This window comes from Homo sapiens, chromosome 4 (genome assembly GCF_000001405.40).
Source record: "Homo sapiens chromosome 4, GRCh38.p14 Primary Assembly".
NCBI classification, from domain to species: Eukaryota; Metazoa; Chordata; class Mammalia; order Primates; family Hominidae; genus Homo; species Homo sapiens.
Window position 1 is genome coordinate 88,792,327 of NC_000004.12, and position 15,731 is coordinate 88,808,057.

At 35.8% G+C, this 15,731-nt stretch overlaps 1 protein-coding gene across 24 annotated transcripts in view; it reads right to left on the reverse strand.

Moving 5' to 3' along the window:
• The window catches only part of FAM13A (family with sequence similarity 13 member A), a 331,226-nt gene that overhangs the window by 66,367 nt on the left and 249,128 nt on the right, over nt 1-15,731 (reverse strand). For 16 of the 24 annotated variants that reach the window (XM_047449481.1, XM_011531516.2, XM_011531517.3 and 13 more), the window contains one exon: nt 12,685-12,726. The exons of the other annotated variants lie outside the window; for them this stretch is intronic. In XM_047449481.1, coding sequence (XP_047305437.1) covers nt 12,685-12,726 — 42 coding nt within the window. The remainder of the gene's footprint in view (nt 1-12,684; nt 12,727-15,731) is intronic. 24 annotated transcript variants of the gene reach the window in all.

Genomic DNA, 15,731 nt, shown 5'->3' on the forward strand with positions numbered 1-15,731 from the left:
AAGCTCTTAATCACTCCACTAGCTTGTCTTTCAATCCATTACTCACTACAGTCATCTTTGGATATGGAGGCCTGGCCTTAGGTATTTTACTTTGCTTTTAATTACAACAATTTCTCCTCTGCCTCACAATGCCTGTTATTCATAGTGGTTCCCAGGCTACATAACCAACAATAAAACCCTTTCTGCTTTCTGTCTTTAACTGGAACAAGCAGTCCTTGCTTTTGCTACTTTGTGGCTTACCCTCTGTAAATTCAACAATATATAATTAACTCCTATACTCCACTTCTCAGTACAGTTACACAACCTTGGTTTTGAGAGCAGGGACCCATATGAGTAATGACTCGGGGAAAACCCAGAAGAGAGTAAAGAATGTGGATCTGCTAGATGCTAAAAAACATTCCAAAGACATGTCATTAGCCTGTTAGTCCTCTATGCCATCTCAGAATGAAGACATGTATTTCCTCTCCTCCTTTCCACATCCTTTTGAACTGTCTTCTTTTTGACTATTAAAGCAGATCCTGATGTTTTGATGTTCATTTTCCATGAAGGGAGGGTGAAGAAAGAAAGGCAAGAAAGAAAAAGACAAGGAAACAACAAACAAGATGAGGTTCTGAGATTTCTAACTCTTTAAATAAGTGCTTCTTCATTCTTAATGTGCATAGGAATCACCTTGGCACTTGTTAATACAGACTGTGATTCAGCAGGTCTAGGTCTTGGGAAGGGGAAGCTGAGACTGCATTTCTAATACATTCCTCAGTGATTCTAATACTGTTGGTTTGTGGAAGACACTGAGTGGCAGAGGCTCTTATCTTCGCAACTAAAATTCTTCAAAACTTCAATTACTTAAATATCCCAATAATGATTTTTAAATACTGTAATCTAAGTAATGAAGGTAGGATACGGAAAACTCATGTTAACCTCAGTGAATAAAAGTCAACACATCGAAATTTCTCCAACAGCTTAGAGAAAAATGACCTGAACCATCTAAATCAGTTGTAGAGCACATTTCTCAGAGTACAAAAGTAAACGAATAAATCAATAATAAAACCAAGTAATTAAATCATATTCATATTTTTGCTAGCATATTTATTTTAGGACAGTTTTAGAATAAAGTGTGATGTTTTTAATAGTCCTTTGGAATTTCTGGTATATTTAACTAGTCTATAATTTCAAGTTCTTTTAATAGAATTCCTATATAAAGCATTAGGAGAAGATATTTTCCACTGGTAATCAGAAAAGAAAGTTCTGGTCTTGGCTCTGCAGTTGATTAGACAAAATCACTGGCAGGTTGTTGGTTAGCTTGGCTGCATTGGGTTGGTTTCTTCACATAGAAAATGAAAGGTCTGGCTAGTGATCTCTGTAGTTTCTTTTACCTCTAAAAGAAACCTCAAAAAATTGTTCTATCTCAGGTTCAGGCTTACTGCCTAAAGTTTACATGATTACAAAAGGTTATGACTGCATATTTAGTTTTATGACATAGTATCAGATACATTTATGGTTTATTAGATTCCAAAATAACTTTGGTATTTAGTCAGGCATCCACCGCCATAGTTCCTGTGGGATGTACTTAACAATTCACCCTTAACAAAATTTTAAAGAATATTTAACAAAAGCAATAGAGATTTCTTCCATAACTAAGACACTGACAAAAAGGCAATAAGCATTTAAACAATAAGCAAATAAGCCAAAGTGAAAGATAAAGAAATTTCCTTCTTCATCTGTATGTAGCTTGCTTTTTACCCTCTTCGGAGAGCTAAGAATAATGAATTTTTTTTCAGCGTCTTTGACTGATTTGCTAAGAAAATTTCTTACTTATGCATTATAAACAGTTGGATATGGAAGCGTTCATTTCCTAATGTTGACAAAGCAAGTATTTAAAATGGAAAGAAAGATGCTCACTCATATGCAGATCCCAGTTCTATGGCCAAATTCAAACCTAAGCCTACTGTTAGTGATGATGCAACTGAATATTCTATTGGCATGGTCATTTAAAATAGATTCTAAGCCTACTTTGAAATATATTCTATGACATATTGAAATATCTTTAGTCTTTATTTTTACTAGCAAAACCCAAACTATATTTCCTTAAGCCAATTATGCTCAGCAATATTAGTCTGTAAAATTTGCATGTGATAAGATGCACAGATGCCTGTTGACAAGTGATTCTTTAATTAAATCTCTTGATTTGAAATAAAAAAGCATACATTTAAAAAGAGGTTTCAAATCTACAAAATGGAGACATCTTGAAAAGCATGTGTTCTCTTTTCTGTGCGTTGTCTTATTTCAGTATGTTCTCCTCTATGGCATATAAAATCCTGCCTGTAAAATATTACCGTTTTATTAGGAAACATGAGGTCTAACAAAATTATCAGTTTCTCTAGGATATAATATTTAAATTTACTCTTTTTTTAATTGAGCAAGGATTAAAAAGACAATTATGAGATGTTCGCTTAAATAAACCTAAGGATAAAGCTCATGTAACAATCATCAAAATAGCCTAAAATTCTTAATTTGTCAATTTAACAAAATATAGTATTTTTAGTATCATCTTAAAATACGATAAGTTGATATGCAGCATCAACATTATACATATATAACAATGCACATATTTGTTATGGTATAATGGCTTTCTAAATTAAATTTTGTTCATAATTTTAGTGCATTCTTCATAGTGTCATACATTAAAACAATTCAATCCTCAATATTTATTCCTTTTGTTTTAACCTCTAGCTATGATTATCATATGCAGAACTTTAGTGGAACATTTGTTGGTATTTAAACTCTGATAAAAGTTGCATCATCCTTTTGCATCATTACAGACATTTTGGGTAGCCTCAAATCTTGGTTTAAAATTGCATACTGTGCATAATATACTAGAATATAAATTGAAAACATACTACATGGATATAACTCAAAAAGAGGAAAATATTTATCCTCATACCTTCTCTAATTCATGTTTCCTATTCTTTTAAATAGCCTGATTTGAAGAAAAAATTACTCTTCACAGCTATATCTTAATGCTATATTAAATTTATTCTAACAAATCAAATATAACCCATCGAAATGTCAGAATACTCATCTTTTATACAGCTTCTTTTGACAATTATTGATGTTTTCAATTTTATATATTTAGTATGTTTTAGCATAAAAAGAAATGGAAAGTTTAGTTTTTACACTAAGGTCTATATTAACAAAATTATAAAATGTAATGGATAATTCACTTATATACTGTATCCCTTTTCCATTTTACAGAAAATTGAAGAGCAGAGAATTTAAGTATCTAAGTTTACACAGCTCCATTCTATCTATGTAGTCTGGCTTCAGGGTATGTCCTCGATACTCTGAACAATCTTTATTCTCAAATAATGCTGCTATTTACATAAATTGTTGGCTATACCTCTAGTTATTTCATTAGAATTAGGTTACTAAAAGTGCTTTTTTTGATTCAAATAGATGTTCTCCAAATTTATATAATGCAGAAAATTTTTATTTCATCTAGGTTTTCATGTTTATTAGTTTCAAATTGCATGATGTATTCTCTAATCTTTTAAAAAATTATTATAACCCTTACAGTAAACTTCAGTTATGATTATTAGTATCATCTCTCATTTTTCTCAAGCTTATCAAGAATTTTCTATCTTGTAATTTTCATTTTTAGTCTCAAAGAACCAGCTCCCGAATTCAAGTATCAGTTCTGCTCGTTTTCTGTTTTCTTTTATTATTAATGAATTATTTTAGGTTTCAAAGAGGTTGCTTTTTCTTCCTTTCTATAACTTCTTATTCTGAATGTGTGGCTGATTTATCTTCAATCTTGTGTTAGGTTACCTCTTAAAATAAGTTTAGACTTTATTCTATAAATTTTCATATATACTTTTTCTTTATTTTCTTAACAGTATGCACTTGAGATTCTTATTTACTCTTTGAGTTATCCCCTTCCTCCTGTCCCCTTACAAGAGTTTTCATTGGTTGATTGAAAGTTTTTGTCATTAATTACACTGTGGTCAGAAATTATTGGCTATCAAAATTTCTGCTCTTTAAGAACTTTTAAAGATAGCTGAATAATTTTTATAAAGTAGCAGAAATGCTTGATTGAGCTCTATATTATGCAAAATTTCACATATGTATATAGGTGCTCATTTATTTGAAATCTTATTAATTTTACAAAATTCTCAATGCTATCTATCCTGTAAATTTTGTTATGGACATATAGTTATATGTATAAGTCCTATATTTCAAATGTGTTTACTTGTTTACCCTTGATAATGTAAGAATTTAAATTTATATGATTTGATAATACCGTAGATATGTTTATCTTTTTATTATTGATCTTTCTGTGCCACTTTGTTTTAGGTATGACTCTTTTGCAAATGGTATAGTTCAACTAGGTTTTTTTTTTTTAGTAGTTTAGCTTTTCTCAAATAATTTAATCCACTTACATTTATTGTCCTAGCTGATTTGTTCTAGTATTGTTTTTGCTTTGTACTTTCTAATTTGGGAACTTGCTTTTCCTTTGGTTTCTGACATTGCTCTTATCTTTTGAAGGCATTCTGAATATAGGAATCCTATGCACAATTCTACTATGGTTGCTTCTCATGCCCATATTTCTCTCATTATTATTAAAAATATGGCAAAAAGTGCAATTACTTTCACGTCAACCTAATAAAATAAGAAAATAGACAAAAAAACCTCTTGACACCTGCTTCTATTTTCCTGTTTATGTAAGACAAGAAAATTATAGTTTCATTACTTTCTTTGCCTTTCCACCAATGCTTATAATCAGATCTCTAGGTCCTACTAATTTTTTTTTAAATTTATCTCTCAATTAGCTGGGCACACACTATACTTGTATTTTACAAATATGTTTCTTCATTCAAATTATAGTTTTCAGATTGGCTTTTCAATCTCTGACTTTCACATCTAACATTATTACTCTGATAGTTTTGTGGGTTTTTTTTTTTTTGAGACAGTGTCTTGCTCCGTCACCCAGGCTGGAGGGAGTACAGTGGCATCATCATAGCTCACTGAAATCTCAAACTCCTGGGCTCAAGCAATCCTCTTGCTTCGGCCTCACAAGAAACTGGTGTACATCAACACACCTGGGCAATTTATTTATTTTCTTACAGAGACAGAGTCTTGCTATGTTGCCCAGGTTGGTCTCAGACTCCTGGTTTCAAGAGATCCTCCCACTCTGGCCTCCGAAAGTGCTGGGATTACAGGAGAGAACTACTGTGTCCAGCCTGTCACGTAGTTTTTATCTTTATCCTGTTCCTTTTCATTCCAGAAGGGCGTCTCCAGTTTCTCTTTTATCATGTATTTGACTGATTTTTAATCATTTCTCTTCTTTACTGCCTTCAACATAGTTTTTAAAGTCTCTTCTAAAACATTTCTAGGGTTGTTTTTCCCTCCTCATTTCAGCTGTTCTTTCTGTATCCCCAGCCTTTCAATTCCAAGCCTACTCTGCTTTAATGGCTTCCTACTGTTTCAAAAAGGTTTATGTCCTTGAGGATTTTTTGAGAAGATTAACAATATTAGTTCTCAAGTTTTCATCTGAATTTTATAAAAATCAATTCTCTAGATTCTGCTTTTATGCTGAGTCATTGAGGCAGATCATCCTTTCCCCTAGTTTGTAATTTTTCTTCATAGGTCCCAAATAGTTTCTTTGTGTTTAGTGGTTCTTAAGGTGGAACAATCAATCTAGGCAGAACCAGTTCCAACAACCTGGGAAGGTAGATTGTTCTTAGTTTATATAATTGTCCACTTGGCTGTGAGCAGATGCCTCCTCCTGGATTTAGATTTGAAGAGCCAGTATCTGAATCTGCCCTAGAATAATCTATAATGCCTACTTAGGTGGACTTGCTTTTTGGTCCAATTTTATGATTATGCTGGAGAACTGGAAACAAATTTGTGGTTTGTTTTGGGGTAGTGTACACTTGAAAGCACATATGAAAATCCAATAATCTTCTTCCCTTTATCCCTTTCTCAAATGCTTTTGCTAGGTGACTGAGCATCCCAGGAGAAGAATCCCTTTCTTCCCCATTGTTCTGTACACTGAGTATTCTTGTCTGAATGGATATTGAAATAAAAAAGCTGATGAGGGCAGAGAGGTGAAAAACAATAAAAACACAACTCGGCTCTAGATGGTTCAGAAAATAAGTTTCTGCTCAGTTGAGGAAATGTCACTAGCTTTTCTGATTAGTGCAATAGACAGCAGAAGAGAGCCAAGTCAGTTTTTCCTCCCTTCCTTTTCTCTTTGTGGCTATCTGTATTGTTTAGTTGGCAGAACATGAAGTCTGCAAGGTAAAAATATGTTTCTCCGTCCACGCCATAGATGATGTGACTTTTGACATGGCTTTTCTTTATCATTGCTACAGAGCTGTCTCTAGAGTTTGTCTTTTATATCATCATTGGATATTAAATAGAAAGCTGGGAGTACTGTATCAGGCAAAGGCAGTCTGCTACCTGTTTAAACTAGAGGCTTACGTTTTATTAAAATCTGAAGTTCTACAAAGGGAAGTCCACAGAGAGGCAGGGAAACTGAGGAATGAAGTAACAAGAGACCTAGGCAGAATGGATATAAAGGTGTAATTTTCTACAAGTGAATTCTTCTTTATCATGCTGAGGTATAAAGAGGTAAAAATATGAAGAAAAGCATTTAAAATGTATATAATTTATCTTTCTCAGTATAGCTCTAAACATATGCTTAATATTTTTATTAACATTGTTAGAATTAAACCCAGAATCTATACTTACATCTTACTACGCAAAAAATAAATAAATAAAAAATAATGACTGGTGATTCTCAGATCAAGAACTCAATAATGAGTCTTAAAAATTGTATGACAAACAGTAGTAAACTTTGTAGCCATTCCTCAGTTATACTGTTGGTCTGGTTCTGTGTAGGCACCTAGCACGACCTGAGACTTAGAATCCTGACCAATGAGACACAACCATCTTTAAAGAAATCCACATACTTCACAACTAAAGGATGGCTATTATTAGAAAAACAAAATACCAAGTGTTGACAAAAATAAGGACAAATTGGAACTGTGTACTTTACCTGTGGAAATGTAAAACGATGTAGCTGCTAGGGTAAATAGTATGGAAGTTCCTCAACAAATTAAACGTAGAACTACCATATGCTCCAACAATTCCACTTTTTTTTTTTTTTTTTAATTATTAGACAGAGTCTTGCTCTGTTGCCAGGCTGGAGTGCCATGGCACAATCTCGGCTCACTGCAACCTCCACCTTCCGGGTTCAGGGGATTCCCCTGTCTCAGCCTCCTGAGTAGCTGGGACTACAGATGCACGCCACCATGCACGGCTAATTTTTTGTATTTTAGTAGAGACTGGGTTTCACCATATTGTCCACGATGGTCTCGATCTCCTGACCTTGTGATCCACCCGCCTTGGCCTCCCAAAGTGCTGGGATTACAGGCGTGAGCCACTGTGCCTGGCCCCAACAATTCCACTGCTGAGTATATACCCAACAGAAATGAAAGCAAGGACTTGGACAGATATTTGTACATCCATGTTCATAGCAGCATTATTCACAATGCCCAAAAGATGGAAGCAACCTAAGTGTCTATTGACAAGTGAAAGGATAAACAAAATGTAGTATATACATAGATGGAAATATTATTCAGCCTTCAAAAGGAAGAAAATTCTGACACATGCTACAACATGGATGTACCCTGAGGTATGCTAAGTAAAATATGCCAGTCACAAAAGGACAAAGACTGTAAGATCCCACTCATATGAGGTACCCGGAGTAGTCAAATTCTTAAAGACAGAGAGTGAAATGGTGGTTGCCAGGGGATAGGGAAAGGAGGAAATGAGAAATTAGTGTTTAGTGAGTACAGAATTTCAGTTTTACAAGATGCAAAGAGTTCTGAAGATGGATGGTGATGACAGTTGTATAACAATGAGAATGTACTTAATGCCACTGAACTGTACATTTAAAAATGGCTAAGATGGCAACCTTTGTTTATATTTTACCATAATACAAAAACCAAAACCAAAACAGCAGAGCTCCACAGGCAGGGGGGATGTGCCCCCTCCGTTTAGAAACACTATTCTGGCCAGGCGCGGTGGCTCGCACCTGTAATCCCAGCACTTTGGGAGGCCGAGGTGGGCAGATCACTTGAGGTCAGGAGTTTGAGACCAGCCTAGCCAACACAGTGAAACCCTGTCTCTACTAAAAATATAAAAATTAGCCAGGTGTAGTGGCGGGTGCCTGTAATCCCAGCTACTCTGGAGGCTGAGGCAGGAGAATCACTTGAACCTGGGAGGTGGAGGTTGCAGTGAGCCGAGATTGTGCCACTACACTCCAGCCCGGGCGACAGAGTGAGACTCCATCTCAGAAACAAAAACAAAAAAAAAAAAAGAAAAAAAAAAGAAAAAGAAACACTATTATAATAAAAAGGAAAACAAATATTTTTAATAAGTAGTTGTGTCTAAAGACATCCAGATACCTAGCTGACTTTATCATCTTGCTAAAAAAGTGGATACTTAAATAAACAGCTTGCTTGTTTGTTCCACTTCTTAGTAGCCTAAAACAGGGTTTTGAATAAATATAATGTCTGGTATGCTACACTTCTCCAAAACTCTCCCATGTGATAATGAAGGATTTTTACCTTAAAATAATCATTTAGAAAACATACAATATGCTTCTTAAGGAGAAAAACAAACTATTAGAAGTTAAAGCTAATGAAGCATAATACAAAAAAAAAATCACAAACATACAAATTCTAGCATAAGTTGTTTGGAAAGCCATTCCTCAGAAAAATTACCTAAAAATGCTTTAGAAAGAAGTTTTCTACATATCAGGAATAGCAGTGGCATGGTATAATATTCAGATCCCATCTAAATATCAAGTAATATTTTAATTTGAATTTAGCCAAAGTCATTTTTTTCTTTAACATAAATGTACAGTTATGAGACTGAGAAAATCGATAGTTCCCAGGCTCTAGCAATTAAAAATTAACCAAATTAGAAACAGTAAGTCTATCTGCAAAACAGCTAACTTAGAAATAAATCCATCTGATGCTCCTTCAGGAAAATTAGAAAACAGATGAAACACCAAAGCTGACCTTAATCCAAACATGCTAAATTAATAATTTAGCCTCAGTTTGCACTGTGAGTATTAAAACTTGGGCTGATATTTTAAAAGATGGTCAATTCCAGGATTTTCATGGAGCATTAAATGAGAAAACGAAAAGAGAGGAAGATCAGTGCACCTGCTAGAAGACAGGTGTTAGGTAAGCAAGGACCAAGTTTCAGATGCCAGGTGAGTTATTTAGAGCCCAATGAACAAAACTGGTCTATAGCCCCTGAAGCACACATCCTCAGATTTTGATAAAGCACATTAAACACAGGTTCTACATATGCAAGTTATATGTATAATCCAGGAATTTGTAAAGAAGGAGTTCAAGGATAGAAGTCTGATGAAATGGGATAAGGATGGGATCTGATCCTGCTCATAGGACCATGAAAGTGGTGTAGGGGAGGTGGGAGCTGGTAGAGATGAGGAGAAACAGCAAAAGGAGATGCAGAACCCGAGTCTTAGTGGAAACCAAACACTGAAATCCGAACTCAGGCTTGCAGACACTGAAAACTCAGGCAAACAGAAGTAGAGCAGCAACAGATCCTAGACAGATCTGACTGGAGGCCAGGTAAAAGAATGCAGACAATAAAAGGTTGAACATGGCACAGAAGAACACCACCACCAAGTTGTTTTGATGCTCAGCTGAGCAACTGAGGTAGGGGCCCTGTTGTTTGGGATTGCAGCCTAGACTATAAGAGAGAACAGGGTATGAACATCCTGGCCAAGAACATTCTCCACCTTAAGTGTGCAGGTCATGTCTATTCTGCTGTAGTCTTACTAAGGGTTTGGCATAACCTATTTTTCCTTTTCATTTCCCTAATCATTTCAACTGGGCTGGTAATCCCTAATAAGCGTCTGGGGAACAATGACACCTACTGTTTGAGCTCCTATAACTGCAATTAACTTGCTACATGGAATGGTGGCAGGTGTAGATTGATAGCTACTGTTTCCTTCCTTTGCAAAAAATGACAAATGGCTCTGTGGTGAGTTAAGTTGGAGAAGTTCTGAAATTAGAGATGACAGAGTTATCACAGAAGATATTTGATTTAGAATAAAAATATGAGTGTGTGTCTATTTATAACAGCCCTACCATATTACAGAAAGGACTGAAGGTAACTGAAATATATGGTAGACTAACATGGGATTCAGGCATGACTGTTCAATGAGAATATCACATTATAGAAACTGAAATTCCATAAAGTGATAACAAGAGCAACATAATGACTGAAACGGCCTCTCTGGTTCCCTGTTCCTGCATCCCTTTCTTCTCCCCTAGCCACAGCAAGGTCCTGGGACCTCCACTAGTGTGCACTGTGGCCTCTTCACACGCTCTCCGTCTGCATCCTCTATCCCAGACACAGACTCTGTCCTGTTGTATACAATCCATCTCTTCTCCACTCCAGTAGCAGGATTCCCATGTGATCTCCTATACCCGAGGGCCGCTATGGGTCATCTACCCTCCTTCCTTTGAGACTGGAGGCCTGCTCTGCTCTCATCTTCTGTCTGTTCTGATCTGCACTCTCTGAAGACTGTCCACTCACAGACTTGTAGCCACTGAGTTTTGCTGTTCCACCTCTTTATGCTGGACCTTTCAGAATTAACCACCAAACTGAATATGCCATTGCTGACCAGCTTTCCCAGCCCTATCCGCTCCATGGCTGCTTGTGGCTGGATCTACTTCCGGTGAGTAACCCTCTCAGCAGACGTGTCTTATGTCTTGATTGGGCCTACTTTTGAAATTCTAATTTCAGGCTAAATAATTACTATTTTTGCATTTGTGAAATAGTTCTGCTTAGTTTAAATCTCCATCATATGAAAAGAATGCCTGCTGGTAACTTCTCCTTTTTCTACCATAAACGTGGGCCAGTATGCATATTCATTCTCTTTTTCCCCCTAATTTTATCATATTTAATTTTTATGACTCAACATTGAAAATATCAAGTAGCTTCTATTAAGAGTTCAGTAAATATATTATTGATTTTCTTTTACTGTATTTTCTTGTACTTTCATTCTGCAAGTACAGGACATTCAGAGAAATAAGTTCTCATTCGTTGGCATGAACCAGTGCTAAAGTCTCCTATACTATGTAAAACTAAATTTCCATTAATATATAATAAACATTTGTTATTACTGTGTATATTTATATAATGAATATCAGACTCACTACGTGCTCAGCAGCATCCTGATGTGTTCACAGGAATTGCATAGTTGAGATACCCTATGAACCAGAGTATGCTGATTTGGTTGGCAGGAAACCAGGATGAAAAAATGGACCACGTTGTCTCATACTGAAACCTCAAATGTTCCCTCTCTTGCCATAAAGTGATTATGCAATATGCTGCAAGTCACTAAAGAGTAAACACTATTAAAAAGCAGTTACTTCGCTAAGCCTGAAGTCCTATGACACATTTCTGAAGTACTAGTGGTTGAATTATAGCCTAAATCCATTCTGGGACTATTTCAACAAGTCAGATTCAAAAATAAATAAATAAACAAATTCTGTATTGCATCCCCTGACATTTCTTTTAAAAAGCAGTAGACTTCAGGCCAGGCGTGGTGGCTCATGCCTGTAATCCCAGCACTTAGGGAGGCTGAGGCGGGTGGATCACGAGGTCAGGAGTTCAAGACCAGCCTGGCCAAGATGGTGAAACCCTGTTCTACTAAAAATACAAAAATTAGCCGGGCGTGGTGGTGGGTGCCTGTAATCCCAGCTACTCGGGAGGCTGAGGCAGAGAATTGCTTAAACCCGGGAGGCGGAGGTTGCAGTGAGTCGAGACCATGCCACTGCAATCCAGCCTGGGCAACAGAGTGAGATTCCGTCAAAAATAAATAAATAAATAAAATAAAATAAATAAAAAGCAGTATACTTCAGGAAATATTTTAAAAAACAAACATCAGCATTATTCTACATGTGTATATACTTTTCAAATATATTTTCTAAGCCTTTGAAGTGGGTAGGTAGTAAGAAAAGACATGCAATAAGGAAGACTTGATTCTAGGCTGTATCTCAGATGACTCACTGGAAAACCCTATCAGTACAGCATTCAATCACCAGAGAGAGGTGATCTTGAATTCTGTTAATTTACCTGCTTTAACATTGTTACTCTGGGTTTGTAAGTTTTAGAAAATCATCTTAAACCCTATAAACTTGCTGAATATTTAGTTTCCTTCTCCGCTATGACATAGAAAATGATGTAACACAACCCAAGGCTTTATCTGTGAATGGGTCTTGTACCCATTTGCCCCCACTAACCTATGCATATGTATATGTATAAAATAGAGATTTTTAACTTTGCTTACAGCCTAATCATCAGGCAGTTTTTAAATTAAAATGATCACCTTGGCACTTTTGAATTTAAAACAAAATGTCTTATTTTAGTTGTTTCAACTATATCAGACATTTAAAAAAAAAATTTCTTGAACCAAAGGGGAAAATACAGTAAGGTGAAGAGCTCCAGCAAGTTAGTCTGGCCACAGTAATGAATGTTCTATTGAAAGAGATTAAAATGAGCAAATAAACCCAAAGAAGCCTTAACCCTCCTTTATTCCCTGTAGTAGACCAACAAAAATCAAATAAATACCTCAAATAGAAAGGTGACAGAGGTCTTTCATCTTCCTGTGAACTAAAAGGAAAATAAATTTTGAATTAATATAATGTCTGTTAATATGACATGTCAATTTTACTAAAAATGTTCTACCTGTAAAAAATGTTGATTTAGCACATTAAAGCCAATCACATGATGGAATAAGGTTAGTAAAACATGATCCACCTCGGACCTAGCCAAGGTCAATTACTTCTTGTCAGGATACCATCAAGTGAGGCTTCTTTCAAGATCAGCTAAGACAGAAGTAATTCACATCACACTTTCAAGAGGAAGCTTTTTACTGCCTTATTCTAGAGGCCCAATTCAAGTATTCGTATATTACACATAAACCCTTAAAATGATTACATACTAATTTATCTCAACAAAGCTGACTGCAGCTCATTAACATGATGATGAAAATAAGAAACAACCAACAAAACATTCCTGTTAAGAACGAGCCACTTCAGGAATGATTCCCTAGCAATGCAGAGCACATCAGTAAACAGCACCATACTCACGGGCTCTTTGTCCTTCTGTAGTTACTCTACTAAGTATTAACTAGTGTGTATAACATGAAAGGACACAAATGAAATCATTAAAAAGTTTAAGTTCCTCAAACAACACAGACAAAATATGAAGCTTAATACATTGAAAGTTAATTTTTTTTTTTTAAGAGACATGGTCTCACTCTGTTGGCCAGGCTAGAGTGCACTGGTACAATCATGGTTCACTGTAGCCACAAACTCCCAGGCTCAAGTGATCCTCCCACGTCAGCCTCTGGGGTATCTGGGACCACAGGCACGTGCTACCATGTCAGGCTAGTTTTTTATTTTTTGTGGAGACAGAGTCTCACTATGTTGCCCATGCTGGTCTTGAACTCCTGGGCTCAAGTGATCCTCCCACCTCAGCCTCCCAAAGTGCTAGGATTACAAACATGAGCCACCATGCCTGGCCTAAAAATTTAATTTTTAAAATGTAACATATATGCTATATTTTCTTTTCCTTTCTTTAGTATGTTTTATTTTTCCTAATAAATGATCTCAAAGTATAGAATGAATCCCTCCCCCTTGCGGTCCACTGGAGTGATCTCTGAACTTTTAAAATTATGCACTCATAAAACTTGCTTTTCAGTGGCCACTCCCCTCAAATATATAACTGATTAAATATATAACTATATTATGTACATCATTAAACAGATAAAAGTAGAAAGATAAAGTATTAAATAAAATGAAAAAGAAAGTCTAATATTTTCTTTTGTACCCCTAGGATTCCTCTTGGATATCACCTGGGGTGTACACCACCTTACCGCATCTGGGAAAGCAACTAATTACCTGCAGCATTCTCTTTCTCTCTCTTTTTGCTTATTTTTAATTTTCTTAAGCATCATTCATGAAAAGAGAAAAGTCTGCTTCGACTGATAGTATTAAACTTGCAGTCAATAAACTCTTATTACAGAGTTATACTGTAAAACACACACAAGCAAACAAAATCGTGTCCTGGAAGTTGAATAGGTCTTAACATTTTAGAAGGAATATGGAACATAAAATGTGACACACTGTTTTTCATTCTCTCATGATTTGGGTTTCCAATTTCAACACTGATCAGCTGTTCTAATGCCCATGTTGCCAAATACCTTAATGTTTATAACTAATGGTGTTAACTCTTCCCAGGTGAGGGGTAAGTGATGGGCTGTAATGTGGATGGGCTGAGGGCAAAGCTTGTAGAATTAGGTTGCAGGGTTGAAGAGTAAGAGGGGACAACACCTGGGAAATGTCCAGGTGTCCAGGAAGAAACCACCTGAAACAGCGCTATTATAGGAGGTGACTACTTTTAAGTCAACCTGACAGAAGTCGCTTACACATTTGACTTCCAAATACTCCTAGAAAACACTAAACAAAACAATTTTAGAAATGTTAGAACTGGGTTTCCTGATCAAGAAATTGATCATTATGCCAAAGAAACACCATGCCAAACAAACAAAAAAACCTGCCACTAAAAACCTATAATGATTTTGTTATTCTAGGAAAGGCCTCCATATTTTGTAAAATTAGTACTACATACTTTCTTTGCCCAGAACAGATCCTTTACTCTAACATGTAGCAAACTGAAGGAAAATTAACATGGTTACTGTAACATTCTTTGATGTGCATTCAATTAGCAATATGCTTGATTTTCTTAAGTGCTTTTGAGAGATGATTTAAATGGTTCAGGGCTCTGAACACAGCTGTTTATGTGTCTTAGCTATTTGTGTGTGTCTGTGTGCTAAATTTCTCTGCAGCAAACAGAAGCAATACTTTTTTCCTTTCATCTCCCTCACAAATTTCATATCAATTATGACTGCGGGCCAGATCCTACCACAGGTCCTACATTAATTATCTCAATTAGATACTCACAAAACTTCCCTGGTTCTGGCTTCTTGCTCCTTAATTCTGGTGAGAAAAGCAGTCTCAGAGTGAGTACATAACTCATTCAGATGATGCAGCTAGTGATGTGTAAATTACTGTATTACATGTTAGTTCATTTTTCTTACTTATTGTTTTCCCTTGATTTTTAACTTACTAAAGTACAGCGAGATGACTAGGTTAGTGAAGAAAATGCATTCGATGGCCAGTCTGCATTCCAGCAGCCACAACAAGATCTCGTGGACTTGATAAGCTCCTTGTCATGCTTCTGATTATGGCAACTCTACATCACCTTAGTCAAAGTCCATCCATAATGCATTATGCCTGACAGCACTTATAAGGTGATTAATTTATTAAAATATACTGGCACGATGTCAAGAATGTCTCTTGATAGAAACACAAGATTTTAATCATAAGCAAATATTTTATCTGGCCTGCATTTGCACAAAGTAAATTCATCAATGAAAGACAAAATAAGAAATTCTTAATTTGGCTATGCCCCTGAATTTTGACCAGTTTTTGTTCTAAAAAAGAAAATGTAAGCACTGAAATTTAAGTAAAATAAAGCAGAGTCAGTATTACATTTAGTCAACAATCAGCAGTTAACAGTGGAGCAATCCATGCACAGTCCCTGAGAAAAAC